General features: G+C 41.1%; 1 protein-coding gene across 8 annotated transcripts in view; it reads left to right on the top strand.

Annotated features, from left to right (window-relative positions):
• NPTN (neuroplastin) overlaps nt 1–27,094 on the top strand; it is a 73,376-nt gene that overhangs the window by 18,009 nt on the left and 28,273 nt on the right. For 5 of the 8 annotated variants that reach the window (XR_007064440.1, XR_007064439.1, XR_007064438.1 and 2 more), the window contains exons 2-3: nt 18,012–18,359; nt 23,244–23,415. Coding sequence is in view for 5 of the 8 variants with exons in the window: in NM_001161363.2 (NP_001154835.1) it covers nt 18,012–18,359; nt 23,244–23,415 (520 nt within the window). In the remaining 3 variants the exon portion in view is untranslated. The remainder of the gene's footprint in view (nt 1–18,011; nt 18,360–23,243; nt 23,416–27,094) is intronic. The other 3 variants (NM_001161364.2, NM_017455.4, XM_047432389.1) reach the window with 1 other exon arrangement.

Genomic DNA, 27,094 nt, shown 5'->3' with positions numbered 1-27,094 from the left:
ATTAAATTATGATATACTTTGCGTTATGTCTAACACAAATGATCAATAAAGGCTAGCTGCTGTTATAATGAATTTCCTTTCAGAGACATTAGTTATGTGCTCAGTAATCTTTTTGAAATGTTCTTTTTTATTTTTTAAGAATAGTTAAAAAGTGTCCTATTCCCTGTCCATCCCTGGCCCACCATGGTTTTCTTCAAGATTATCTTTAAAAAAAAAAAAAAAAAGATTGTTAAGCTGTTTGTTTTTGATGCTAGGAGTTTCACAGAAACTGTGAACATCCATCTCTTTTAGACCTAGTGATGAGCAGCATCACTACCTAACTTGGAAAACAGTGGTTAAGTTGAAACCTAACTGTAAAGTAAAAACTCAAATAAGAAATCTATTTTAAACTCAAATTTATTCCCTTGCTTGTTAGAAAACAAACTGACATTAGGGATTTGATTTTTTTAAACAAAAGGTAACTTCTAAGGTATCTGTGGTAAATTCAAATATAACAAAGTCTAGTCTTTTAGAATGTATTAATATGATTCTGTTGATATTAAGAAAGATGGCTCTGATGGCTACCTTTCTATGAAAAACTCCACTAATCAAAGAAAGATGGTTTCATTTATTATACATTTATTAACATGACTAGTACATTTTAAGTTTTTAATAGGTTGCAATTTAATGAAAGGATTTTTTTCTTAATCCTTCATTAATAAGAATCTTATTCCTCACCTTTCTTTTAACAAATATTGAGTATAATGTGTGCAGCAAGGCACTGTGGGGAAACAAAATTAGAGACATATCCTGGTTTCCAAATAATTTATAATCTGTTAACATATATTCTTTCTTCTTACCTTGTGCATCTTCATGGATTCATAGAATATGGCATTTGAATTAATTCATCAATTACATCTACAAATACATAGATTTGCTGAATATTAAAGCTGAAAGGACCTTAGAAATTGTCCATTCCAGTCTTCTGGTTATATACACAAGGGAACTGAGGTTTCAGGTTTTAATATATGTGTATGTATTTATTAAATGGAATGATTTCTATAAATATGCATTTTTTTTTTAAGACAGGGTCTACTTCTGTTGCCTAGGCTGAAGTGCAGTGGCACAGTCTCAGCTCACTGCAGCCTCCACCTCCGAGGCTCAAATGATCCTCCCACCTTAGCCTCCCAAGTAGCTAGTACTACAGGTGTGGACCACCATGCCCAGCTTTTTTTTTTTTTTTTGTATTTTTTGTAGAGATGAGGTTTTGTCTGGTTACCTTGGCTGATCTTGAGTTCCTAAGCTCAAGTGATCTACCTGCGCCAGCCTCCCAAAGTTCTGGGATTATAGGCGTGAGCCACCACACCTGGCTTAAATATACTTTTCAAAAAGTTACAATTTAAATTGGTATGTCCAGGCCAGGCACGGTGGCTCACACCTGTAATCCCCGCACTTTGGGAGGCTGAGGCAGGCAGATCACTCAAGGTCAAGAGTTCGAGACCAGCCTGGCCAACATGGTGAAACCCTGTCTCTACTAAAAACACAAAAATTAGCCAGGCATGGTGGTGGGCGCCTGTAATCCCAGTTACTTGGGAGGCTGAGGCAGGAGAATCGCTTGAATCCAGGAGGCAGAGGTTGCAGTGAGCTGAGATTGTGCCACTGCACCCCATCCTGGGCGACAGAGCGAGACTCTGTCTCAAAAAAAAAAGATATGTCCAGCATTTTGTTACCGCGTAGCTTCGTATTCATTTCTGAGACACTATTAGAGAGTATATGGTAATAAATTCTAGAGCATCATTGCTAGCTGACACAATCTTGGCCTGTTTTTTTTTAACCAGAGTTTATGATTTTACTAAATATGATAATCTGAAATTACTAAGTGGAGAACTACCTTTTGTAAATATTACTGTTCATTGATCTTTGTATACTACCATTTAAAATCAAGAGAGGCATTTTCTTTTGGAGCAGTAGGGCCTTGAATTGTGTACTTTATTCTAAGACAATAGGTTCTAGTTAATGGAAAAATTAGCTAAGGGTGGTATAGTTACCAATTAATATTGAATGTAGAAGAATAAGGTGGAAGATTTATAATTTTAATAGATAAAAATAAAATAGGAATTTTGGAGGTGCTTTGGAGGACTTGATACATTTGAATCTGAGACTCAGATATTTAACAATCAAAGGGATTCTTGGAAAATTATTGCTCCAGGTTTTGGGGAAGGTTTTTAAATCACAAATATACTGTATTTAGAATTGGAAGTTTATTGACCTAGAATTTTATTCTGGGATATCTCCACTCTAATTGCTTAATCTTACATAATACATCCTCCAGGTTCCCTGTAAGTTGAGTAATCATAATTCTCAGTTTGTGCCTGTTGCCCTGTCAGAATTATTAACAGCACCCCTTTCACTCTCAGAAGGATTCAGGTTTAGATGACAAATTATATGGTTACCTTACCCATAAGTGTAATTTATTCTCCTGGGCATTTAACGTGATAAAGGCTTAGGAGATTTCCTCCTATGACATTCTTTTCCTTATGATGGGAGATTTCTGTTTAATGGAGTTAGGAGAGCATTAATTAAGATAGCCTAGTTGAAGTCTGATAGATTTGTTTATTTATTTATTTATTTTTGAGACAGAGTCTGGCTCTGTCGCCCAGGCTGGAGTGCAGTGGCGCATCTCTGCTCACTGCAAGCTCCGCCTCCCGGGTTCACGCCATTGTCCTGCCTCAGCCTCCCACGTAGCTGAGACTACAGGCACTGGCCACCACGCCCGGCTAATTTTTTGTATTTTTTTTAGTAGAGGCGGGGTTTCACCATGTTAGCCAGGATGGTCTCAATCTCCTGACCTCGTGATCCGCCCACCTCGGCCTCCCAAAGTGCTGGGATTATAGGCATGAGCCACTGCGCCTGGCCAGTCTGATAGATCTTAAGGTTTAAGAGTCCCATGTTTTCTTTTCTTCCTTTTTTTTTTTTTTTTTGGAGACAGGATCTCGCTCTGTGGGCCTAGGTTAGAGTGCAGTGGTGTGATCACGGTTTATTGCAGCTTCGACCTCCTGGGTCCAGGTGTTCCTCCACCTTAGCCTCTTGAGTAGCTGGGACTATAGGTACATACCACCATGCCTGGCTAATTCTTCACATTTTTGTAAGACACAGGGTCTCCCTATGTTACCCAGGCTGGTCTTGAACTCCTGGGCTCAAGCGATCCTCCTGCCTTGGCCTTCCCGTGTTGGGATTACAAGCATGAGCCACTAGGCCCAACCTGTCCCATGTTTTCTGTGCTTGCATCAGAAACACAAGATAGGTGACCATTACTAGCTTGTCCGAGCAGAAGTTATTTTTGCTTGCTCAAAAGTAGCTTTGCATTTATGTATCATTTAAAAAATTCCAATCAGATATGCTCAGTGTCAAGTGCAAATAAACCTCAGTACATGATTATAAGTATTTTTCAGTTGATACTTTTAATTTAAAAAAATCGACTGCATTTTTAGAGCAATTTTAGGTTCACAGCAAAATTGAGCAGGAAGTACAGAGAGTTCCCATGTACCCCCTGTCCCCACACACATACAGCCCCCACTATCACATTCCCACCAGAGTGGTACATTTGTTACAGTTGATGAACCTACACTGACACATCATCACTCAAAGATCACAGTTTAGGACTTTGAGTTTAGGGTTCATTCTTGATGTTGTGCATACTATGAGTTTTGAGAAATATATAATTACATACGCTAATCATTAGAGTATTATACAGATAGTTTCACTGTCCTAAAAATCCCCTGTGTACTACCTCTTCATCCCTCCTTCCTTCTTATCTCCTGGGACCACTGATCTTTTTATTGTCTCTATAGTTTTGCCTTTTTCAGAATGTCATATATGTAGTTGGAATCATACTGTGTACCCTTTTCAGATTGGCTTATTTCACTTAGTAATATGCATTTAAGGTCTCTCCTTGGCTTTTCATGGCTTGAGAGTTTGTTTTGTTTTTGTTTTGTTTTGTTTTGTTTTTGCATTGAATAGTATTTTACTGTTTGGGAGCATATTTAATTTTAAGAAAATGTTCTTGATAGTCTGTTTCGAGATTGGCATACTAAATTCCACAAGTGGGAACTTTTAATTATTTAACAGTGAGTTGAATACGTGATAAATTCCCATTTAATGGGAGTGAAATTGCGTATTACTTTAAGAATGATTGTCTTCCTGAATGAACAATAATTATATGAGTTGTTGAGAATTCAGGGACAAATACAGGATCTTCATAAACTGTGTCATACCAAATATCAAATATTCTTTGGACTCTGGCTCAGTGTAACTGTATAAATAATTTTTGCTACTATCACAACTTAAGTAGTGGGAATGTTTGCAGTTTCAGCACATTGTCCATATGGTCCATATGTAACGGAGTCAAATTTGTCTCATTTTTCAAGATTCAAAATAAGACTCAGTAAAGTTCTGCTGAGCATCCTCAATTTTTTTTAAATTGAGAAACCACTGGGGCCTAGAGGGGGGAAAATGTTCCCATTTCATGCCATTGTGGAAGTGAAGAGTCTCTTGTTCAGTTGCCTGTGTATCACTATCATATCCTTATTTTCCAAAATCATATTTGTTTAATCTTTACAGAAATACTGGAGGGGACCAGAAGGGTAGGAAAAGGGGCATAAACATTGTAATATTTCATGAACTTTTATCACAGTCTAAAATAGGGGTTACTATTTCTGTTAATATTTTCTCTAGAATCACTGGTCCGTGGCATATTGGCTTTGTTTCTTTTCAGTACTCTTTACTGCAGAGTGGGAGTTGGTTTAGCTTTGGGCTTTAGGCTGAGATTCCGCTTGTTTTCCTTTTTAAAAGTTGAGAAAATTTGGTTGGGATTATGCGTTAGCTTTTTCTCCACAGAAAGCATTCCATGTTAAGTGAAATAACCCAGGAATGGTAATTTAAACACTGCATGTTCTCACTCATATGCAGAAGCTTAAAAAAAAGTTGATCTCATAGAAGTAAAAAGTAGGCCAGTACAGTGGCTCATGCCTGTAATCCCAGTACTTTGGGAGGTCAAGGCAGGAAGACCACTTGAGGCCAGTAGTTTGAGACTAGCATACTGTACAAAAAACGTAGCAAGACCCTCATCTCTACAAAAAACTAAAAAACTTAGCTGGGTGGGGTGGCACACACCTGTAGTCCTAGCTACTCTAGAGGCTGAGGTGGGAGGATTGCTTGAACCAAGGAGTTCGAGGTTACAGTGAGCTATGATCATGCCACTGCACTCCAGCCTGGGTGACAAGAGCGAGACCCTGTCTCTAAAAAAAGAAAAAAAAAAGTAAAAAGTAGAACAGGAAGGTGAGGGAAGAAAGGAATAGGGAGGGATTTGTTTAAGGACACAAAATTAAAGCTAGATAGGAGGAATAAGTTGTAGTGTTTTATAGCTAGAAAATACTAGAAGTAGGATTACTATAACAGTAATACATACTTTCATGTTGCTAAAATAGAAAATACTGAGTGTTCACGACACAGATGATAAATGTCTGAGATGATGGATATGCTAATTACCCCAATCTGATCATTACACATTGTATATATATTGAAACTTCACTATGTATCCCATAAATATATATACTTATTATGTGTCATATAAATATAATTTTTATGTGTCATATAAAAAAGTAAGGGGAAAAAAGCATTTCCAAAGGTAATCTTTGGAACCATATGGATACTGTTTTTCTCAGAAGGTAAGGATTCTTTGTGTGTGTTTTTTGTTTGTTTGTTTGTTTTCAGGGACGGAGTTTCGCTCTGTCACCCAGGCTGGAGTACAATGGCGCCGTCTCGGCTCACTGCAACCTCCATCTCCTGGGTTCAAGCGATTCTCCTGCCTCAGCCACCCGAGTAGCTGGGATTACAGGCCCCCACCACCACGCCCAGCTAAGTTTTTGTATTTTTTAGTAGAGACGGGGTTTCACCATGTTGGCCAGGCTGCTCTTGAACTCCACCTCAGGTGATCCACCTGCCTTGGCCTCCCAAAGCGCTGGGATTACAGGCGTGAGCCACTGCGCCCGGCCAGGATTCTTTGTAAAGGCTAATAGCATTACACACTCTACTCAAGCGAAGTCTAATGCTGCTTTGAGACCTTCTGGTATGGATACTGTGCCTTATATCTGAGTCATTGACATGGAGTTTTAAGTCTTCTGAAGCAAAGTAATAAAATATTTACTTGACATTATTAAAAGTGTTGTCTAGATATGGGAAGGGAATTAGTTCCTAACTTGGGGTATTTTATCCTAGTGAAAGTGCATTGCATTCAGTGGTGAATCATTTGGAAAGAAGTATAATTATGTAGAAAGTTCCATTCTCAGTTTCTTTTTCATCCTCCCTGAGTCAGCTCATCTCCTCCCATGGCTTCAACGTCCATAAGCTGATGATTCCCAAGTGCATATTTCCAGCCTCCACCTCTCTCCTGCATATCAGATCCTTATTTTTAACTACATTTGGATATCTCCAGATGTCTGTAAAGCCAGCTCAGCCTGCTTTCCCTTATTACAGTTATAGTATCACTGCCCACCCCACGTCAATAAGTTCATTTGATTCTATCTTGTAAACATTTCTCATGTCTGTTACCTTCTCACCATTCCCACAGCCACTCTTAATTAGTTCAGACTATTTTTCATTTGGATTATTGAAGGAGCTTCTTAACTCCTTGTTGACTTCCTTATTTCTGACAGCCATTGTACTGCCACCAGTCAGAGCAGTCATACCCCTTGTTCTATGGAAAGAAGCCCAATATGCTCTTCATAGCTTACAGGATACCTGTCATTCTCCCTATATTGTGAGGTCTTGAGGATATTTTTCTGAATAGCATGAGCACTTAATAGGTGCTTGACATATAATAGCACTCAAAAAATGTTGAATTTTTTCACCTTTATCTAGAACTCATTCCTACTAATTGTAATACTGTGCTCATGGTGTTTCCTCTTGCCTAGAACAAGACCATCTCTCCCCGCAACTGACAAGGCTAGATTTAGATTTCAATGCATGAGCTTTCTAGGTATACGTTAGTCCAACAAAATTATTTTTTATATATGTTCCTGTTGTACATACCTGTCATAGAAGTGCTGTTGTCAGTGGTATTGTATTTTGATTATTCTGTCTTGTGTCTTGCAAGGTTGAAATCTGTTTAGGAACAAAGTTTATCCCTGTGCACAGTCCTTGGTAAACAGGACCTCAATAAATGGTAAATTGAAGCATCCTGTCAGTGTATACACTGGAAAACTGAACAAATCCAAGATAAAAGTCATTGTTTTGAAATCATAGTGACACAGTTTTTTTAGCAACTGTTTTTGCTACTCTACTTCTTTTGGCCATGGATCACAGACCCAGCTGTTGGGAGAATCTTTATATGATTTCAGAAACATCTGTGTGGCTCTTATGCCTTTGTTTTCCTTCCATTTAAACAAGCTCAAAATTTGCACAATATTTGCACAGTTTCAGATTCTCCAAGATATTGTCAGAGTATGGTCCCTGGAGCAGCAGCACGGGCATCACCTGAGAACTTGTAAGTGCAGTCTCAGGCCTCAGTCTGTGTTCTAACAGGCCCTCCAAATGATTCTGCTGCATGGTAAAATTTAAGAATTACTGCTTTAGAATTTTGTCATCTAAGGAAAGCTTTGCCTTTTGTATGTAATGACAAAGTTCTCAGTGTGATTTCTGCTATAAGCTATTTATGCTTTGGAAATATTAATAGTTCATCAGCTGGGAAGACTAGGACTACGGTTACCTAACATCCTGAGATGTGATTCAAAACTTGAATTTCCCTCTGGTCAGAGTTTTTGACTCTGTGGTTTCTGAGAATGGCTGTTTAAAAAAAGGTGGGGAGAAGTAGCTTACTACCTCTTTCAGTTAAAATGTCTTCTAGATTATACTTAGACTATCAGCTTGGACTGCTTGTGTTCATTGTCATATTCATGCGATATATGATGATGGAAGAATGAGATGAATTTTGGTATCTTAACATTTAAGTCCTGATTGTTACTGTGTTGTCAGAGACAGAAAGTAAGCTTGTTATCAGAAGTTACGCTGAATTTATAGACAGGTGCATTTCACAGAAAAAGTTTGGCAAAGATTAGCTTTTGAGCAGTAATTACCTATGGCTTTTGAGAATGGTTTATTCAACTTGCTAAAGAAAAAAAAATGATAACGTGTTAAAGCATGGTAAGAAAGGCTTTATTTAGAACATGGTGATAGATGTAGGGACCAGACCACTGCAGTGAGATTCTGCACTGGGGAGAGAGATGGGCTCAGCTCTGAATACAGCATAGGCAGGTGGGGGTCAGTGGATGGAAAATTACTAAGAGGAAACATTAGGGGTAAGGAGGATTTGGCTAAGCCAACCTAAACATTCTCACTGAGGATAGGCCAGGTTGATCAGACCTCAGCTAGGGAATGGTGGAGGCTGAAGAACCTGATCTGATACTGAGGATGATCAAAGATGGGGGTTCTTGCTAAACTGACTTAGCAAGGTTCTTTGCTAAAACTGAATTTTACAAGGAAGTTCACAGATGGGCCTAGGAGAAGGTTCAGAAGCCTACATATTGGTCAAGCAAAGAATCTTTGTCGAATTGAAGTATTAAAGCTTTCTAGTATATTGTTTTCATTTTGGCTTTAATGCTAACTGGAGAGTCAGTTGAAGTACACTCTTTAAATGTTTTGTAACTGGTATTATTTTTCTTTTAATTAATTAAAATTGTTTTTGGCCTCAAAGCTCCATTTTGGATGTAGTTCTAGATCTGCCCATAGCTACTTTTGACAATCTCTTGGGATAAGAGAGCTTTTATGAGCATTTGCTTAAATATGTAAGGGTTTCACTTACATATTTGAACCAGACCTTTCATTAATAACTCTCTTTAAGATATAGCTTATTTGTGTGCATTTTTCTGTTTCCCCTGCATGAGACATTCCTGGTTTTTAATGGCTAGCAAAACCAGCTTTTTCTCTTAGGGACCAGCAGCTTAAGTACTATTTGTGAAGTTGGGAAGTGAATTACCTAAAATTCCCCTGAAAATACTAGCTTGACAATAGTTTGTGGCTGCTGCATTTTTCTCCTTGGACAGACACATCCTTAGTTTTAAAAAAGTCATGGTCATTTTGATGTCAAAGTCAAAATGGGCCCTGATTTATTGTATTTGGCCACACTTTCTTGGATCTGACTGCTCAAGAGTAAATTAAATGCCTTTTTCCTCCCTGGGGTGAAGGAGAAACATTGTTAGTCTCCAGCAGTGTCTTTGATAATGAAGCTGTTTACCTGAGTACTGTAAAAGCCTGCAAGTGGCTAGCATTTTCTTTTTATTTTTTTTGAGAAGTAGTTTGCTTTGTCACCCAGGTTGGAGTGCAGTGGTGTGATCCTGGCTCACTGCAACCTCCACCTCCTGCATTCAAGCGATTCTTGTGCGTCAGCCTCCCAAGTAGGTGGTATTACAGGCGTGAGCCACCGCATGATGGCCATAGTATTTTCTGATAAGTAACATACAGGCAGAGCTTTCAATCTGTTAAGAGTCCATGTGAGGATATTCAGGATCATAGGAAGGAACCCTGGAAGACAGACGTACAAAAGGAATGCAAGAGGGGTTCAATTGTGAGCTGATTCTTCTCTTTGCTTTTAACATTTTCCAATTCTTTTTTTTTTTTTTTGAGGTGAGTTTCGCTCTTGTTGCCCAGGCTGGAGTGCAGTGGTGCGATCTCAGCTCACCGCAACCTCCCCTCCTGGGTTCACCTCATTCTCCTGCCTCAGCCTCCCGAGTAGCTGGGATTACAGGCATGCGCCACCATGCCCACCTAGTTTTGTATTTTTAGTAGAGACGAGTTTTCTTCATGTCGTTCAGGTTGGTCTCAAACTCCTGACCTCAGGTGATCTGCCCGCCTCGGCCTCCCAAAGTGCTGGGATTACAGGCATGAGCCACCGCACCCGACCTACATTTTCCAATTCTTTCTGTTTCTCAGGTCTGATGTCAGGTTCTATTTTTGTAAGATTTTTTTTTTTTAACCAGAATTTATTCTAAATCATTTTTATTAATTTCTGGCAGCCTTACCTCATTTAATGTCACTTTCTATTTGAAACATGTTAATTTTCTGGATCAGTGGTTTGCAGTGCTTTTTTCTTTTGGAAAATGGAAAGATTTGGAAACAGTCAGTCCAGTAGACATCCCCCTCCTTCATGGATGTGTGTGAGCCCTGCCCCCAGTTTCTTCCACACTGCTTTTGAGGTATGTTAATAGAACACTCAGGACTAGTTTAGATCATTCTTTTCCCCCCCCCCCCTTGAGACAGGGTCTCTACTCTGTCACCAGGCTGGAGTGCAGTGGAATGATCATAGCTCACTGCAGCCTCAACCTCTCAGGCTCAATTGATCCTCTTACCTCAGCCTTCCAAGTAGCTGGGACTAGAGGTGCATACCACCATGCTCAGCTATTTTTGGTAGAGACAGGATTTCACCATGTTGTCCAGACTGGTGCAGTCCTCCCACCTCAGCCTCCCAAAGTGTTGGGATTACAGGCATGAGCCACTGCGCCTGGCCTTAGATCATTCTTTACCTAATAGAGTAGAATGCTTGCATAAAACTGACATGTTATTACATTTATAGCTTTACAGGTTACAAAGTAATTTTATGTACATTGTTCATGTGAATCTTGCCATGACCTTATGAAGAAGATAGGAATCATTGTCCCCATTTTTCAGATGAGGAAACTGAGGTTGAAGAAATGGAAAAATCCATCCCAAGTTTTTTAAACCATGGCTCATTTCCCTATAAGGTGAGCTCTCATCTTAATAGACCCTTAACTGTTCACTCATCTAACAGTAGTACAATCTAGACTCAGGGTCTGGAAGACCCCTGAAATATGCAAAACTTTGGTTATATTTTTCTGAGTTGAGAGATTCCCATAATTTTTGTTTTCTTTCTTTGTTGAGACAGGGTCTCCTCTGTCGTTCAGGCTGGAGTGCAATGTTGTGACCCCAGCATGCTGCAGCCTCAACTTCCTGGACTCAGGTGATTCTCCTGCCTCAGCCTCCTGAGTAGCTGGAATCATAGACTTGCACCACCACACCTGGCTAATTTTTTGAAGAGACAGTTTTTTGCCGTGTTACCCAGGCCGGTCTCGAGCTCTTGGACTCGAGCGATCAGACCACCTTGGCCTCCCAAAGTGCTGAGATTATGAGTGTGAGCGGCCCATGTTTTTTTTTAAATCATACTTTTAAATTTTTTTCTTTTTTGTCATTGACTTTTTTTTAAACCTGTAGATCTAGGTAGATCATGCTTGTTTAGCTTGTCAGTAGGAATTGGCAACAGGACTGAATGAAAGTTTTTGTTGAGGGAGATCCGTCATACCAAATGCTTATTTCTTGTCTGTCCTAAAGTAACTTAACATTTGCATAGAGTAGTTTACAGAACTCTTACACATAATGTAACATGATTTTCACAACTACCCTATAAAGAAAGTGGCATCATTCCCATTTGAAGAAACTGCTTAAAGTTAAGAGAATTTGTGTTGTGGAGGTGCTGACTCAAAACCTGACACCTTTTCTTAGGCTGAAATTAAGCTAATGTGACATGATCTCAGATTCCATAACTACATCTTATATTTTGTAAATTAACAGTTTGGCCTGTTCAATATCCAGTATCTTCCCAAATATTGTTAAGCAGCCTGATTTATAATTGATAGGATTATTTTCTACTTTAAAAGAATTTTTTTTGAAAAGGAGAATTTGTACTGCCTCTCTTTATTCTTATTATTCTTGGACTTTCCAGATTATTCATAATATCTTAGATTTAATGGTTTATAACTCTGAAAACACTTGCTAATTCCTTGAGTCCACATACATGTGTCTGCTATTATCACTTTGTTCATTCCAGTTTGCTCTAAAGATAGGAAGGAATGAAGAATTCCCTTCTTTTTCATTCCCTTCTGCAGTTAACATTTCCGTTCTGGTTCTCATTTTATTTGGAAGGTTAAGGTTAGTTTTTTGTTGTTTCTTGAAGAACTTGGATTTTAAGTTAAGCTCATTTTGGATGTGAAGTTCTGCTTCCCAGCCTGTTGTGGAGCAGTGCTGCAGGCTGCTGCCCGTGGCCTGTTTAGCACTTATTTCTATGGAGACATATAATAATAGCTAACATTATTGAGTGCTTACTATGTGTCAGGTACTGTTTTAAGCTATGTTATCTCATATAATCCTCACAATAACCCTGTGAGGTAGCTGCTATTATTAGTCCCGTTTTACAGATTAGGGAGATGAAGCTCAGAGAGGTTAGGTCACTTGCTTACAGTCATACAGTTAGTGACAGAGCCTTATGTGAATCCAGACAACTGATTTTAGAGTTTGCTGCATTTGGTCACTAAACTATGTAGTTTCTCTTGGCATGAACTAGATTCCCCTATTTTTCCAAAGCAGAAGGCTGGCTGGTATAGATGCCTTTGGTCATTTTGAATGGTATAATTTCAGAATAAAGGGTGGACCCTGGTTTAGAAGCTAGTGATAGGGATGATCTTAATTTCCAAACTTTTGTCATATCTGCCTGATCAAGGTACCTGTGGAAGGAGCAGGTTTGAATTTGGAAAATGTTTTGTAATTGCTGCCATCTCTACCTAGAGATGAGACTAATCTGTGGTACCTCTTCCTGCTGCAGAGAATGAGGTTACCCCATTTCCTCTGCTCCCAGGACTTCAAGCCTGCCTTACCCTTGGTCAGTACACACAGAATGAGTGCATATAGACTTCTGACCTGCCTTTGGTGTTAAGGAATAGTGATGAATGATCTGTTTCCTGATTAACAGGAAGGATAGGCAGGCTCTACAGTAGTTTGTGTAGGCTCAAGTCTGTGACAGCCTCACAGCAGTTAAGGGTCCTTTAGACATTTGAAATACTCATAGTTCCTGTATTCACGTTTAGATGTCAGTGGGTCTTGCTCAGTCTTTATTTTGAGGTAGACGATTTGAATTTGTGTGTGTGTGAGAGAGACAGAGGAGAGAAACGCTCTTATGATCTTGGCTGTCATTTTCTCTTTATTGCGAGGAACGAAGGAGAGAACAGCATGAGCCAGCCACAGGGAATTAGAGGTAGAGGGGGTTTGAAGGGAACAGCTGTTTTTAAAAGAGGTGACAAAAGCAGGCAAGACTTAAAGGCCTGGCCTTGGCAGTAGTCAGTTGAGGGAGAGAGAAAGTTAGTCTGATTTCTTGTTCTGTGGGTTGCCCTGGAGGTAAATGTGAAAAATCATGATAGTCTCTCCTATATAGGGCTAGGCTAGCTTTTTTTACTTCCTTAGGGCATATATGAAAGCAGTTTTCCTGGGATTGGGCTCAACTTGCTCTTCTGTGTTTCCTTTTTCTTCTCACCCTCTGCTACATATCCACACATCCAGTTTTTCCTGCCAGCAAGCTCCTCCTTTTCTCCGGCTGCTAGTCCCAGCTGTCATCTTTGCCTCCCATCCCCCATCCCCAGTTATGCAATTTTACATTACGCTTCTCTTGGGTTTGCTGCCTCCATTTTTAATGCTCTGCCTGCTACCCCCTCCAGCATCAGCTTCTAGTCTCTTCCTCCCTCAAAGCCAGTAACCACTGTTCAGTTTCCCTCTTTATCACTGTTGCTCTGAATGCACTGATATTAATACTTTCCCAAAACTCTTGCAGATCTGGGCCCAGTCACTTAAGATAGTGGGTGGAGACGATGGTGGGGAAGAGGGTGGGGTAGGAGGTTGTCTTACAAAATTTAGGGTTTTTCCAAAATATTGGATGACCCTTGACCTAGAGAGCAAACAGATGCTTCTGTTGGCCTCCCAACTTTAGGCAGTGTGTGCTTTCTTGTTGAAGGTACATATTTGTTTGAAAGCCCTTAGTAATGAAAGGCAGGGCAGTGAGTCAGGCTCTGAACCTCCTGCTGCTGCTGCTGAGAGCCAGTTCTTTTCCTGAATTGAAGCTAATTTTGGATGGATAATAAGGTGGATGGTTGCTAATAACTTTCCCTTGCTAATTGTGATTTCACAGTACTTTGTAAAGAGGGTTCTTTTCTCTTTTCTCTTTTTCTTTTTCTTTTCTTTCTTTTCCATGCTGTTTGGAGGGGGAATAGATCTCTTTTCATGGTTTTTGATGAGTGTTCAGCTATCAAGGAATTCCTTAGTTTGTTTAGAGGCAGCACAGTTTATTGGAAAGAACCCTAGACTAAGCTAAGACCTGCATTCTAGTCCCAGCCCCACTCAGGATTAACTGCCTAAGTGATTTTGGGCAAGTCATAAACCTGTCTCCGCACCTGCCCTATGTATGAACCTTGTGGAACTGTGCGAATGAAATGAGATGTGATGTATGTGGAAGCTCTTTGCAAACTGCGGAGTTTTATAAAACTTTCAGGTGCTGCCCTTTATTAATTTGGCTCCTGACTACAGCATCAGAGAAATTTTTCCAGTGTCTTGTAAATTCCTTCCTTCTCTGAAGCCAGCCTTCTCCAGAGCAGGGCATTGGAATCATCAGAACTAGAGGCAGTCTTGCCTCAGAATCATCTTATCTTTTCACACTGTTCACCCTCCCCCCAGTTGCTTTAAGAACTCTTTGACCCAGTGCTTCTCTATCTCCATTCTCTAGTAAGATTATAATTTTATGGAGTTAGTGATCATAGTATGTTGCACAATTGGTCAAAGGTTCCTGGCTTTTTGTGGCCAGGAATTATTATTAATTAATTTATTAATTAAACTAAGTGGTGACAAAGCATATCTTTAACTTAAGTAACTACAAAAACCTTTTCAGGCCAGTGAGACACATTGACCACAGTTGTGGTAAGTGTTAAGAGACCATGCTTTCACTTTGGATTCCAGGCCAGACTCTTTGTTATTAGCTTGTGACCGTGGGCAAAATATTTAACTTTTTTGGACGTTAGTTTCCACATCTTTAAGAAAAATTATAATGGCACTTATCATAATGAATAAATGAATTTTGAATATGATAATGAATAAAGTGCTTAGCACATTGCCTAAACATATAATGCATACTTAGAAAATGTCACTGTTACTCTATATGTCTAATAATGGTAATAACAATAATGGCCTTCAAAGACCATTGTTGGCATTTTAAAGGGTTTTTTATCTTGTGTTTTAAAAGTTCATTTAAATATACATCCTATAATTTACTAATGCAAAGAACATTTTTGTCTTGGTCCCATTTTCCTTGATACAGGTAGAAAATTGAACTGACTCAGATCAGCATTCCTTACTCTTAGCAGGAAGTCTTGCCCAGGGTGGCATGATCTGGCTGAGTGACTCGCCCAGTTGTGTGCAGTGGGAATCATAGTCAGACTGTTTCTCAGCTACCTGTGACTTGTGTGTTATTAGGACTTGGGGTTACAGTGGAATTGGATGGATTCTTGGTGAAAGGATACTTTCAGGCATCTTTTTTACATTAGCATTGTCAACAGATTGATAAACAGGCTTAAGTCTAAGGCTGCTTTGAAGTACAATACAGAAGAAGGGAAAAAGTACAAAAGAAATCCACTAACAGTTCTAGGGCATAATCGAGTACATAATTACCGCATTTGAGAGGCTGTAACTCCCCAAGTTCACAGATAATGTGATAAGACCATTTGTGATTACCACTTATGGTCAAGAATATGATTAAAACAGAATAATACTTTTACTGCATTTCAGGGATTTACTGATATCCAGTTTTCTCTGGTGATTGAGCCAGTAGTAAAATAAATAAAACCAACTTCCTTTACTTCCCCTCCCTCCCTCCCTTCCTTTTCTTTCTTTCTTTCTTTCTTTTTTTTTTTTTGACGGAGTCTCGCTCTGTCGCCCAGGGCAGAGTACAGTGGCACGATCTTGGCTCACTGCAACCTCCGCCTCCTGGGTTCAAGTGATTCTTCTGTCTCAGCCTCCCGAGTACCTGGGACTACAGGTGAGCACCACCATGCCCAACTAATTTTTGTGTTTATAGTAGAGACGGGGTTTCACCATACTGGCCAGGCTGGTCTTGAACTCCTGACCTCATGATCCTCCCGCCTCAGCCTCCCAAAGTGCTGGAATTACAGGTGTGAACCATCACGCCCGGCCCTCCTTTACTTCTTTGTTTATATTAGCTGGCATTGACTTTGACAGGTGGGCAGGTGGTAGTTTGTGAGACCGAGACATGGCTCCTTGGATACCACTTTATTGGGCAGTGAGCTCAGCTCTTCATGCAGGGGCTTGGGGGCTCCTTTCTGTAATTCTAAAGCTTCTCCTGCATCTGAGAATGACATCTGTTGGGCTTCTTGGGGCCTCTGGTAGATATTTCCTTACAAGGAATGCATGCTGGATCTGAAGAGGTAGTTTAAAATGGCATATTAAAGGCAGAACGTTTAGTCTAAGCCTGTTAATCACTGCATTCCTGTGCTCCCCAGAGTCTGAAAATGTCAGGAATTGAAAGACTAGTATGAATTTGGAGGTCTTGGCCTCTACTTGAGTAAGTATAGTACCTCCATTAATGTTCTTAGTCCATGGTGTGGGGTTATCACCAAAGGCAAATACTGCTATGGATGTAAACAGGAATTTTTCCACTTAGTAACCTCCATTTTCAGCTAGCCCTGTTAACATCCTTGGCTTCTGGACTGTAGGAAAACAGTTCCATTTATTTCATCCTTTCCTCTGGAATGTTCTTAATTTGATGTTGGCAGATCCTGACCTCACTCCCTGCTTACTGCACAGGGGCTGGCTTGGCTTATGCAGCAGGCCTCCCAGGGGACGTTTCCAAGCCAATCAGAATGCCCTCTTTTAGTGTCTCTCTTTATACCTTCGGATACTGTCTGAATCAGTAGAAATGCTGAATGAACCCTAGGTGGGGTGGAAGGGTAAGAGAGAGTATGCTTGCACTCTGATTTTGTTTCCTATGGACCTAACTCCAAGTTTTTAAACTAAGCCTGGATTTTTTTTTTTTTTAACTCTTTCTGCCATTTCCACCTTGTCTTATGGAAGTGTAACCTCAAGCAAATTATGGGCAATTAGAGGTAGGCATCAACTTTAGTTCCTGGGCAGTTCCTAAGAGTGTTGGTTGAGGCCTGGCTTTCACCCTAGTGTTTAGTTTAATTCATCAGGGTACATTTCTCATTCTTCTGAGCTGGCTTCTAGAAGCCAGGCAATTCAACTGTATGGAGCCTGTCAAATACCATAGCTTTTCAGATTTTTCTAGGTAATGGATCTATGGGGTTATGGAGGGCACAGTCCCTCCATTAGCTGGCAGTGAGTTGGGTTGCTGGTATTGTTGGTCCCACTTCTGAGCTGACCCACAAAGTATTAATATCTCACTGTGGTGTGAAGTACAGACTGTCTTGTTCTCCTGAGGGTCTGCATTCAGGAAGAGGCTGCCTAACGCTAAACAACTGGGTTGTTTGTTTGCCATAGGCCCAGGGAAGAATAGGAGGTGGAGAAAGTCTAATCGAACCCAGGATAGAATCCTGTGTGAGAGAGAAATTTGCTACTCTTTCAGTTGAAATTTGAACTCTGAATCCCAAGAGAAGGCACCAGTAGGTCATTTAATACTTCTTGTTGAGGCTTGCAAAAGACACTGCATTTCTAACAAAGCGTTTGCCCATCCAAAAGAGAGATCCTGATTTGGCATATAAAACTACTGCCTCTTCTGGTTATCTTTCATCACTTGCCTGAGTTTAAAAAGGTAATAAATGGTTTGTGTTCTAAGGAAAGAGGCTCTTCCCAAGACCTGAGGCTTTCTCATTCCTACCAGCTGGGCCCATTGCTAAAATGCTTTCCAGTGGGCTTGCTTCTGCCTGGCCAGCACCTGGGCTGCCCCAGCTTGTAATTAGCCTGCCTTTGCTTCATAAGCTTCCCAGGGTGTGGTTCTTCTTCTAAAAGCTTGTATGAATTGCTGTACTGTCTCTTTATAGTTTAAAAATGAATCCTTTTTTGTTCTTTGCAACTCATTTGCTTTTTTCTTTTCTTTTCTTTAAATTACTATTAACACCTGTTGATTCTTTTTTTTTTTTCTGATTGGCCTGTCACTGCATTCCTGCTCCCCCTCCCTCTAGCTGGGTTTGTCAAGTCGCCCATGTCAGAAACTAAGCTCACGGGGGACGCCTTTGAGCTGTACTGTGACGTGGTCGGGAGCCCCACGCCAGAGATCCAGTGGTGGTACGCAGAAGTCAACCGGGCAGAGTCTTTCAGACAGCTGTGGGACGGTGCTCGGAAGCGCCGTGTCACCGTAAACACCGCCTACGGGTCAAACGGCGTGAGTGTGCTGAGAATAACCCGGCTCACCTTGGAGGACTCTGGGACTTACGAGTGCAGGGCCAGCAACGACCCCAAGAGGAATGACTTGAGGCAAAACCCCTCCATAACATGGATTCGAGCCCAGGCCACCATAAGCGTCCTTCAGAGTGAGTCCAGCACCCTACAGTAGTAGTACTGTAGTCATTAGAGGTGGCCCAATGACCCTTCCCTTCTGCATCCTTTCCCTCTTCCCCAGTATGATCACTCACCCCACCCCTTGTCTTCGTTTTTTTTTCAATCCCATGACCCTTCTGGTTGTAGTGTATGAAAACATCTGTGGCAACTTTTTTTCTTCTTTTCTTTGCCGTTCTCTCTGCCTCCCTTATCCCCCAACCCTTCTCTGTGTCTTTCTTCTCAGGAACAAAGAACTTGAGGAAATCCGTGACTGTCCAAAATCATCTGTGTTGGGAAGAGTTGGGGAGGGAGAACTGGGAAGCTTAAATTAAAACTCATAAAACCAGGCAGTCCAAGGAGGGTAGTGTTGAAATGGTTTTCCCTCCCCTTTGATTTTGTAGTAGGTTTCCTGCTATACTTTTGCTGATTTCTTCTCTGGTGCCTTTCTATTTTTGTTTCTCTCCCCAGTCTAACTACTTTTTATTTCTTCTGTTCTTCTGTTTGAAGCTCTCTAAGTAGCTGCCTTCACCTCTATGGTTTTAAGTTTGTGTCTGCCCAGCCTCTTCCTTTAACTGTGACTTGGTGTCATCTTGTTGTGATGGGAATGTTGCCATGGGTGCAGTGTGGTGGTGTGTTTTGGTTGTTGGGTGGCATGTAAGCTTGGATATTTTCATAGTTCCAGCTCTTTTTCTTTTCTAAAACCGTGGCATGTGCTTCTCTGATAACAGCCCTCTACTGCAGCAGTGTACTCCTCACTGGGCCTGCTAATTAGTCTCCTCTTTAAAAGCAGCAGCCTGGGACTTCCTTCTTATGTTTTGCTGTTAGGAGCCAGGTGACACTAAGCTGCAAATTATTATTTTTTTAGCCCATCACACTGTTTGGAAGTCAGAGTTGCAGTTGATTCCTGTTCACGGTTTGACTCTGATGAGTAGCTGTTGGCACAGTGTACCTTATCCCAGAGCATGGGAACTCCAGACATAGTGTGGGGACCACTCACACTGGCCTTTTCTTTGTGTCTTGAAAAAAGAGGAAACTAACTTCCAACCTGGTTTCTCATAGTGATGGGGTGAGCTGACCAGCTGGCTCAGAATCCTCTCCTTGTAGCAGGTATGCGTGAGACATATGACACCGGGACTTTTGTGGCCACTTCTCTCTCTTTCTTGAAAGTGACTTGCTACCTTATGTTGAGAAGCAGAGAGAGGGAGAAGCCACCACAGAACCAACGTTCCTGGCCAAGAAGAGTTCTGGCCCCACATCAAACCTGGTTATAATTGAGGGGACATTCACTTTTGGAAAGATCCTCTGGGTTTTTCACCTTCTCTTTGAGGACACAATGAGAGATCTATAGCCAGTTCCAGCTTAAAGAGCTGATTGATCTAGAGAAAGTAAGAATAGTAAAATCTTACTTTGATGAGGAATTTGGTAATAACATAAAGTAGTAAGACATGGGCCTTGAGTCTATATACTTAGATGGAAAATAGCAAATTAGTGTCTGTTCTTTGTAGCCACTTGAAGATCCTATGGGTAAAAAAAGAGTCCTTTGTAGGGCAGTGGTAGGAGAGGCTGCTGCAGTTGGCACTGTTGAATCAAAGAACCTGCTTCTGGAAAGAGGAAAAGAAAACCTTGTCTATGTGAAAATGGGGAACATTAACCCAGTGATTTTTTTTTTAACAATATTTTTACCCTGCACGCCTCCTTCTCCTGCCCCCTTGCTCCTTTCCTTATAAAAGCAGAATTACCTACATGGCCACAAAGGTCTGTGGAAGTTTATAGGTATGGACTGGGCTGGGCATTTGCACTTATACTTCCAAGAGCCTGACTCATAGCTAGAATGGCCATGCCAAGGGGCTAGAAAAAGATGAGGCATTGGGGTACCTACCTACCAATCCCGAGAATACATAGCATTCCCCAGTTTACTTAGAATTGTCTGCATGTGGTTGAATCAAATCCAAATCCTGGCTAGACTCTCTTCAGACTTCCCCATCAGTCAGTTAACCCAAGTTAGCTGTTTTGGAGAGCCAGGAGGTTGTTGCTGCTGCTGCTGCTTTTTTTTTTTTTTTTTTAAAACACCCTGGATCCAACTCTAATTGGACTGTTTTATGATCTCAGCGTCCCAAAAGACATTGCTCTATGGGGACATCAGGTGTTCTATCTAAGAATGACCTCCTGGTAGTACTTTCCCCAAAGCTCATTGAGTATGTAAGGCAAGAAGAGAAGTGTGCCCAGTTTTTAGGTATCTCTCTGGCCATAGCATGTTCTTTATATATGCATGATGGCTGGGGTAAGGGTCTCCTATCCACTGCTTTTAAATAGACATCAGTGGCAGGTAAACACATTTGAACTTCTCCTAAATGTTCATCTCTCTTGGACTTTGGGCAGCGCTTGGCCACAAAAATAAAAGCCCCACCTTCATCCTGGTGCAGAATGCAGTTGAGGCACCATGGCCAAGGAACTTGGTGTAGCACTGTTTTTCATATACAGCAATCACAGGAGGCAGGTTACCCTACCCCACAACCCTCCTATGGTGCAGAATCATATTTAAACCTATTTAAATTATCCACTTGCTCCCAGTGACTCTCTCCTGGATCTTTAACACTTAAGGGAAAAAGTGCTTTCCTTTGCCTTCAAAGAATACTTGGCAGAAAGTCTACCAGGTTGCTTTCATCAACTTCTTAATCTCCCTGAGCTGCAGTGGTCATTTGCATCGCCACAGGTAAGAGTAGCATTTACTTTGGCCTCCTTGTATTTAAACATCTGGAAGCTCTTGGCCTCATTCTCAGAGTTTACCCTTTCTCAGTGCAGTCTGAGAGGAATACCCAGAACGAGAGTCCCAAGTGGGACAGAAAATGAAATTGGATAATAAAAATTAAGTAAAAACCTAAAAGTGTGTTTGGGTTTTAATGTTGCCTTTATATTTTTTTAATTTCTCTTCTGTGGAGTACTGGTTCTATCTTTTTCTCTTTTGTTTTTGCTTGGTTTTGATTTTTCTTGGAATTGTGATGCTTTCTGCTGATGGTGTGTGTGCGCCTTCCATTGCAGGGTTTGCAGCCGTTCTGCTCGACTTCTTAAGGCCCAGGGATTTGGCTTCTGTCCAGTGTGTCTTGGAAACCATGGGACACCACTGCGCTAACGTGTTTACATGCATCTGCTTCTGTCTTAGTGGCTGCTATGCCTCCATTATCTGTACATAGAGACCCTGTTTGATGTTACTGATAAGGACCAGTGCTGAATGGAAGATAACCGTTATCCTTTTGCCAGAGTTGGAAAATAGAACTAATTTGTTAATTGAGCAAACTTAAGGTTTTGCATTATTACAAGTTTCTTCAAAGACATTAACTCTACAAGTCAGAAATGTTACATCGGTTAGGAGGTCCTTAAGACATTACATTTCCCAAGTATCCCACGACTTCCCCATGCTTTCCCCCTCCCTGAACAGCAAGCAACTTAGTTCCCATGGAGGGAGAGAGTTCTTTCCTCACGTTAAGGCTCAGCACAATACTGTATAAAATGGTGAGGGGAGCTGCTGCAAAGCTGTAGATAGGAAGTGACTAGACACAGGGAAATGGGAAGTCAGTCAAGGGTTTCTGAGAGAGAATTGGAAAACAAACAAACAGCAAATACCTCTTATTGTGGTTGGGAAAAGATGGTTAGTGTAGACTTCACCTGGAAATGTTTGATCAAAAGTAGAGAAAACTAAGCCTGGGGAAATAATAAAGACAAAGCACATTAACAAAAGACAACAAACATAGAAATGTCTTGACTTTAATACAGTGATAGATTTCAAAGTGCTTTAAAGATGAAGCTTCCAGGAATAATATAGAGTGATTTTAAACATTTTTGTTCAATGTATTATAATATTTGACTCAAGTAGGTTATTTTTGTAGATAAGCTAGTGATCCCAGGTTATCTAAGCGCAGAATAGAATCAGAAGGTGAAGTATATATACCTTGCCCAGGACACAAGGTGGTGGGGGTGGTCTTGGGGATGGGGGGCAAGGATAGAGAATTCAGTCAGATATGTCTTCTAGGCCCAGCTTTGCCATTAGTAATACTTACGGCCTTGCACAAATCATTTCACTTTTCCAGCTCTTAAAAAAAGAGTGGGATTCAATGAACTCTAAGGGCCTTTCTAAAATTCTGGGAGCCCATAATACCAACACAATATTGCACTCTAGTTATATTTTCTCAGAATGGAATGTGTTTTAAAGTGCAATTCTGAAAACAACAACTTGTTTTGGGAATAGGTATGGCTGGAGAGGAGGAACTGATGATGCTTTCTCAAGAATTTTGCCTCCACAAAATTTGGAAAATGCAAGTGACTTCCAATAGGAAGTTTGCTTTTTAGAATCCACAATGTCTTTTTCTGCATAAATAATGGCCTATGGTTTGCCATAGGTTTAACATTTAAATGTGGGGAAAGCTATACATGTATTATGTAATTATTACTGTTCCAAGGCCCAGTGGTACAATAGGGAGTTTATTATAATAGGTATATAAATGATATGGCCTTTGTCTTCAGAATGGCAAGGTGGAGCCTGGTTGTCTAATTGAAGCCGAATTGTTTGGTGGTTCTTATAAAAAGGTGGTATTCAAAAACGTAAGTGGATTATTACCAGTACAAGCACCCGTAATACTCCCATTCTTTCACGTCTAGGCCAACTGGTCTTCAGGCTGTTGTCTGCGCTAGTGGTCATTTGCTTATAATCATTGTTTTTCCTTTCTTGACTTCCTCCAAAGTGGTAAAGTGAAATTCCTCATGTGGTCCTGTCTGCCCTCCCTCTTTTTCTAGTTTCCCCCTCCTACCCCGTCCAACTCTCAGGCCAGGGCTACAGAGGATGGAAGGCTATTGCCCCCTATCATTGTGCACTCTTATTACAGAGCCAAGGATTGTCACCAGTGAAGAGGTCATTATTCGAGACAGCCCTGTTCTCCCTGTCACCCTGCAGTGTAACCTCACCTCCAGCTCTCACACCCTTACATACAGCTACTGGACAAAGAATGGGGTGGAACTGAGTGCCACTCGTAAGAATGCCAGCAACATGGAGTACAGGTGAGAGTGGTGGGCAGCTCCTGGGAAGGTGGGAGGGAGTGTGGCTGAGCTTACTTGACATTCATAATCCATAGTTGCGCCATGCAGAAGGGACATGAGATATATTTGGTTCTCCCTTTGAGAGTCCAATCCAGTATCTCAGGTAAGGCCCAGTAGTCTAGAAAAGATTCCCAAAGGATTCTAATGAGCAGCCAGATTGGAGAATCATAGATGATCCCCTCACTATAATCATAGAGAAACTGAGGCTGTGAAGTAGTGATTTGTTCAGGGTAACAATGTTAGTCAATAGGAGAGTCACACTTAGAATGTAGTCTCTTGACCTAATCCAGTCAGATTGAAGTTAGGTTTGAAGAAACAGATTGAAGTCTGCTTTGTGACTGTAGAGCAAGACATCTCCCTAAGCCATCTTTCCACTGGGTAGATTTCCTGTGAATTCCCTTTTAGGAGTGTGTAACATCACTGTAACCTGATAAGGACCAGCAGATGCAGGGCTCTTGAATGATCTGGATTGAGGATGGTAGCCTGGAAATATCCTTTGAAAAAAGAAGGATATTTGCTGGCTAGAGTTACCCAGCACCCAAATATTTGGTGCTTTTTGGAATATCTAGAACACATGGCACCCCACCTTGCAGAATAGTTTGTTCCTGGTTGAAGGCTGTCTGGAAAAGAATCAGCTAATCCTGCTTAGAAGGTTAATGCAGTGCAAAGAAAGAGAGCACTGAGGTGAGACCAGGAAAGCCTGTGTATCCAGTGATAGCAAGGGCATTCTGCAGGATATTGCAGCATTGAGATCTTTTCACACCCCTTATTTAGTTGATCCAAATGAATTTGTGGATCCTTTTTTTCCCAAGCAAGGAAACTAGGACTTGAAGAGTGACTCTTGGCTGCTTTAAGGCCAAATACTGTATTTTAATAAGTTCTAGAACCAAGGCTAGGTTCCAGGTCTTCTGATTTTCTAGAATTTTTTCTAGAATTGTTTTTCTTTTCCCTGCTATGCCATCCACTTAGTGGCAAGGTAGTTAACCTATCTCCACTGTAGTTTCTTCTGATAAAAAAAAAAATTAGAAATTTAGCCTCAGCAATTTTCCTCATAGTTTGGAAAGGATTAATCAAATAAAGTTGTTAGGTGGAATGAAAAGCATTTTTTTCTTGTTCTGTCCATTAGTTTTACAGACTTGATTTTTTGTTGTTATTTTATTTTATTGAGACAGGGTCTCGTTCTGCCTCCCGGGCTGGAGTGCAGTAGTACAGTCTCAGCTCACTGCAGCCTCTGCCTCCCGGGCTCAAGCCATCCTCCCCAGTAGCTGGGACCACAGGTGCACACCACCACACCCGGGTAATTTTTTTTTTTTTTTTTTGTATTTTTTGTAGAGACTGGGTTTCGCCATGTTGCCCAGGCTGGTCTTGAACTCCTGAGTGCAAGCAGTCTCCCCACCTTGGCCTCTCGAAGTGCTGGAATTACAGGCGTGAGCCACTGTGTCCAGCCTTAGACTTGTTTTTTATGATACCTCCTTTAAGATAGCAGACATCCAATCATGTTTCTCTTGGGTCTTGTACTATTGCCTGCAAAGTGCTGAGCTTTAACTTCATGAAGTTTCAGCCTGACTTTATAAAATGCTGCTTCTTTTTTCCCCTCAGCTTATTTGAAGCTCTCCAAGGGTGTTGTGTATCTCTAGAGTTTTTCAGGGATTCTACATTTCGTGAAATAACAACTGATGAGTTCCTTGGGCTACCAAATAAGTTAGCCTGAAGAGGCGATTTCAGAACCCTGCTTCTGCCCAGCCTGTAGGGAACGTTTTCCCTTTGCTTTAATTTCTTCCTAATAGCTAGTCCAAGGGAATGGTGTGGGGAGATTTTCAGCCTATAGGCATGGACTCAAGTGTGGGAGTTATCTTCCCAAGTATTTCTCAAAGAACTTAGAAGTCTAAGAACTTCAGTCTTAAGTTCAGGGCTGAGTTTGAGGAAGGAACAGCAGGTCTTTCTTCAGAGCTTGGACTCAAAGAACTTCAGTTTAAGCCCTGAAGAAAGAGCTGCTGCTCCTTCCTCAAACTCTGGAACACTTGTTGATAAGAGCAGCTGACTTGTCTGTTTTCCAATTGGGAGCATAATGATTTAAGAAGAGGCATGGTGTCACATTGAGAAGACACTGACTGCTTCTCACAGAATATTGTGCCGCCATGTGGATATCTTGAGACAGCTCTGGGGATAGGCTATGTCTCTCCTCGTCCATAGTCTCTTAACCTGTGTTTCCTTTTTGGAATGAGCAATATAAGATGGATAAATGCATTAGGCCAGAGTGGTCGAGTTTAGGAGTTTTTCTTAGACATTAAATAGTGCAGTAGAGATTTGACCATCACAAGTATCATATTTTAACCCCTAAGCAAAAGAGCTAGAACTCAGCCCTATATAACTATTTATCCTCTCATCTGGAGGCTGATGTTTTTCTTCTTTCTGTAATTACTCACTAACCTTTCTGCATGTGTTTGGTGTATGTGCTTGTAGGCCAGAGTGTACTGAGTTGATGTGTAGTTGACCCTCGGGGGCAAGAAAGCTTGTTTGGGATCACCCTGTGTGATTGAAATGAAGTGCTGTTCTGGCCATATATACTACTTTTTCTTTTTTTCTTTTTTTTTCGCAACAGGGTCTTACTCTGTCACCCAGGCTGGAGTGCAGTGGCATGATCATGGCTCACTGCAGCCTTGACCTCCCAGGTTCAAGTGATCCTCCCACCTCGTAGCCTCCCGAGTAGCTAGGACTATACGTGCACCACCATGCCCAGCTAATTTTTTTATTTCTTGTAGAGATAGCGTTTCGCCATGTTTCCCAGGCTGATCTCAAACTCCTGGGCTCAAGCAGTCCACACACCTCAGCCTCCCAAAGTGCTGGGATTACAGGTGTGAGCCACCACGCCTGACCCATACACTCTTCTTACAGTCCTTCCTGTCACTCTGCTTAACTTGATCTGAATCTGTACATAGATATTCACTCTGTGTTTGTGTTCACTCAGTAATTCATTCATTTATTCATTCCCCTGCCGTATTCCAGGCACCAGGCTAGGTACTCGGTATGGGATAGTATGCTGAATAAACAGTGCCTATCCACATAGAACTTGGTCTGTTGGGAAGCCGGACATTAATCAAGTAATCACATAAATATATAATCACACACATGATAAGTATTGTGAAGAAGCACAGAGTAGTGTGAGAGAGAATGTTGTGGAAGGGGATGACATTTAGATTGGGGCTGGAATAAACTGACACGTAAGCCAAGACCTGATGGAAAAGGAGTTAGGTAGACTAAGAGTGATGAGAAGAGCATTCTCTGTAAAGGAACATCTTGTGTGGAGGTTTTGAGGTGCGAACAAGCTTGGTGCATTGAAAAACTGAAGAGAGACCAGAAGATCTGGACAGTGGCATGGGATGGAGCTAGGGATATAGACAGGGGCCAGATCATGTAGGGCCCTGGGATTTATCACCAGACTTTTTGCTGCATGTCTGTGGCTGATGCTCTGATGGCAGATTTTTTTCTTTTTCTTTAAACTGTGCCTGGGTCCTGTTAGCAAGTAGACTTGTGGAAACGCATGCTCCTAAAAGACAAGGTAGGAAGAACAGAACTACCAAAACAAGGTCTTTGGAGAAGCTCAGAAAGCTTGTGCTTTTTGTTTGTTTTTGTTTGTTTG

Source organism: Homo sapiens, chromosome 15 (genome assembly GCF_000001405.40).
Source record: "Homo sapiens chromosome 15, GRCh38.p14 Primary Assembly".
NCBI lineage: Eukaryota > Metazoa > Chordata > Mammalia > Primates > Hominidae > Homo > Homo sapiens.
This window is presented reverse-complemented; position numbering and strand designations above follow the sequence as displayed.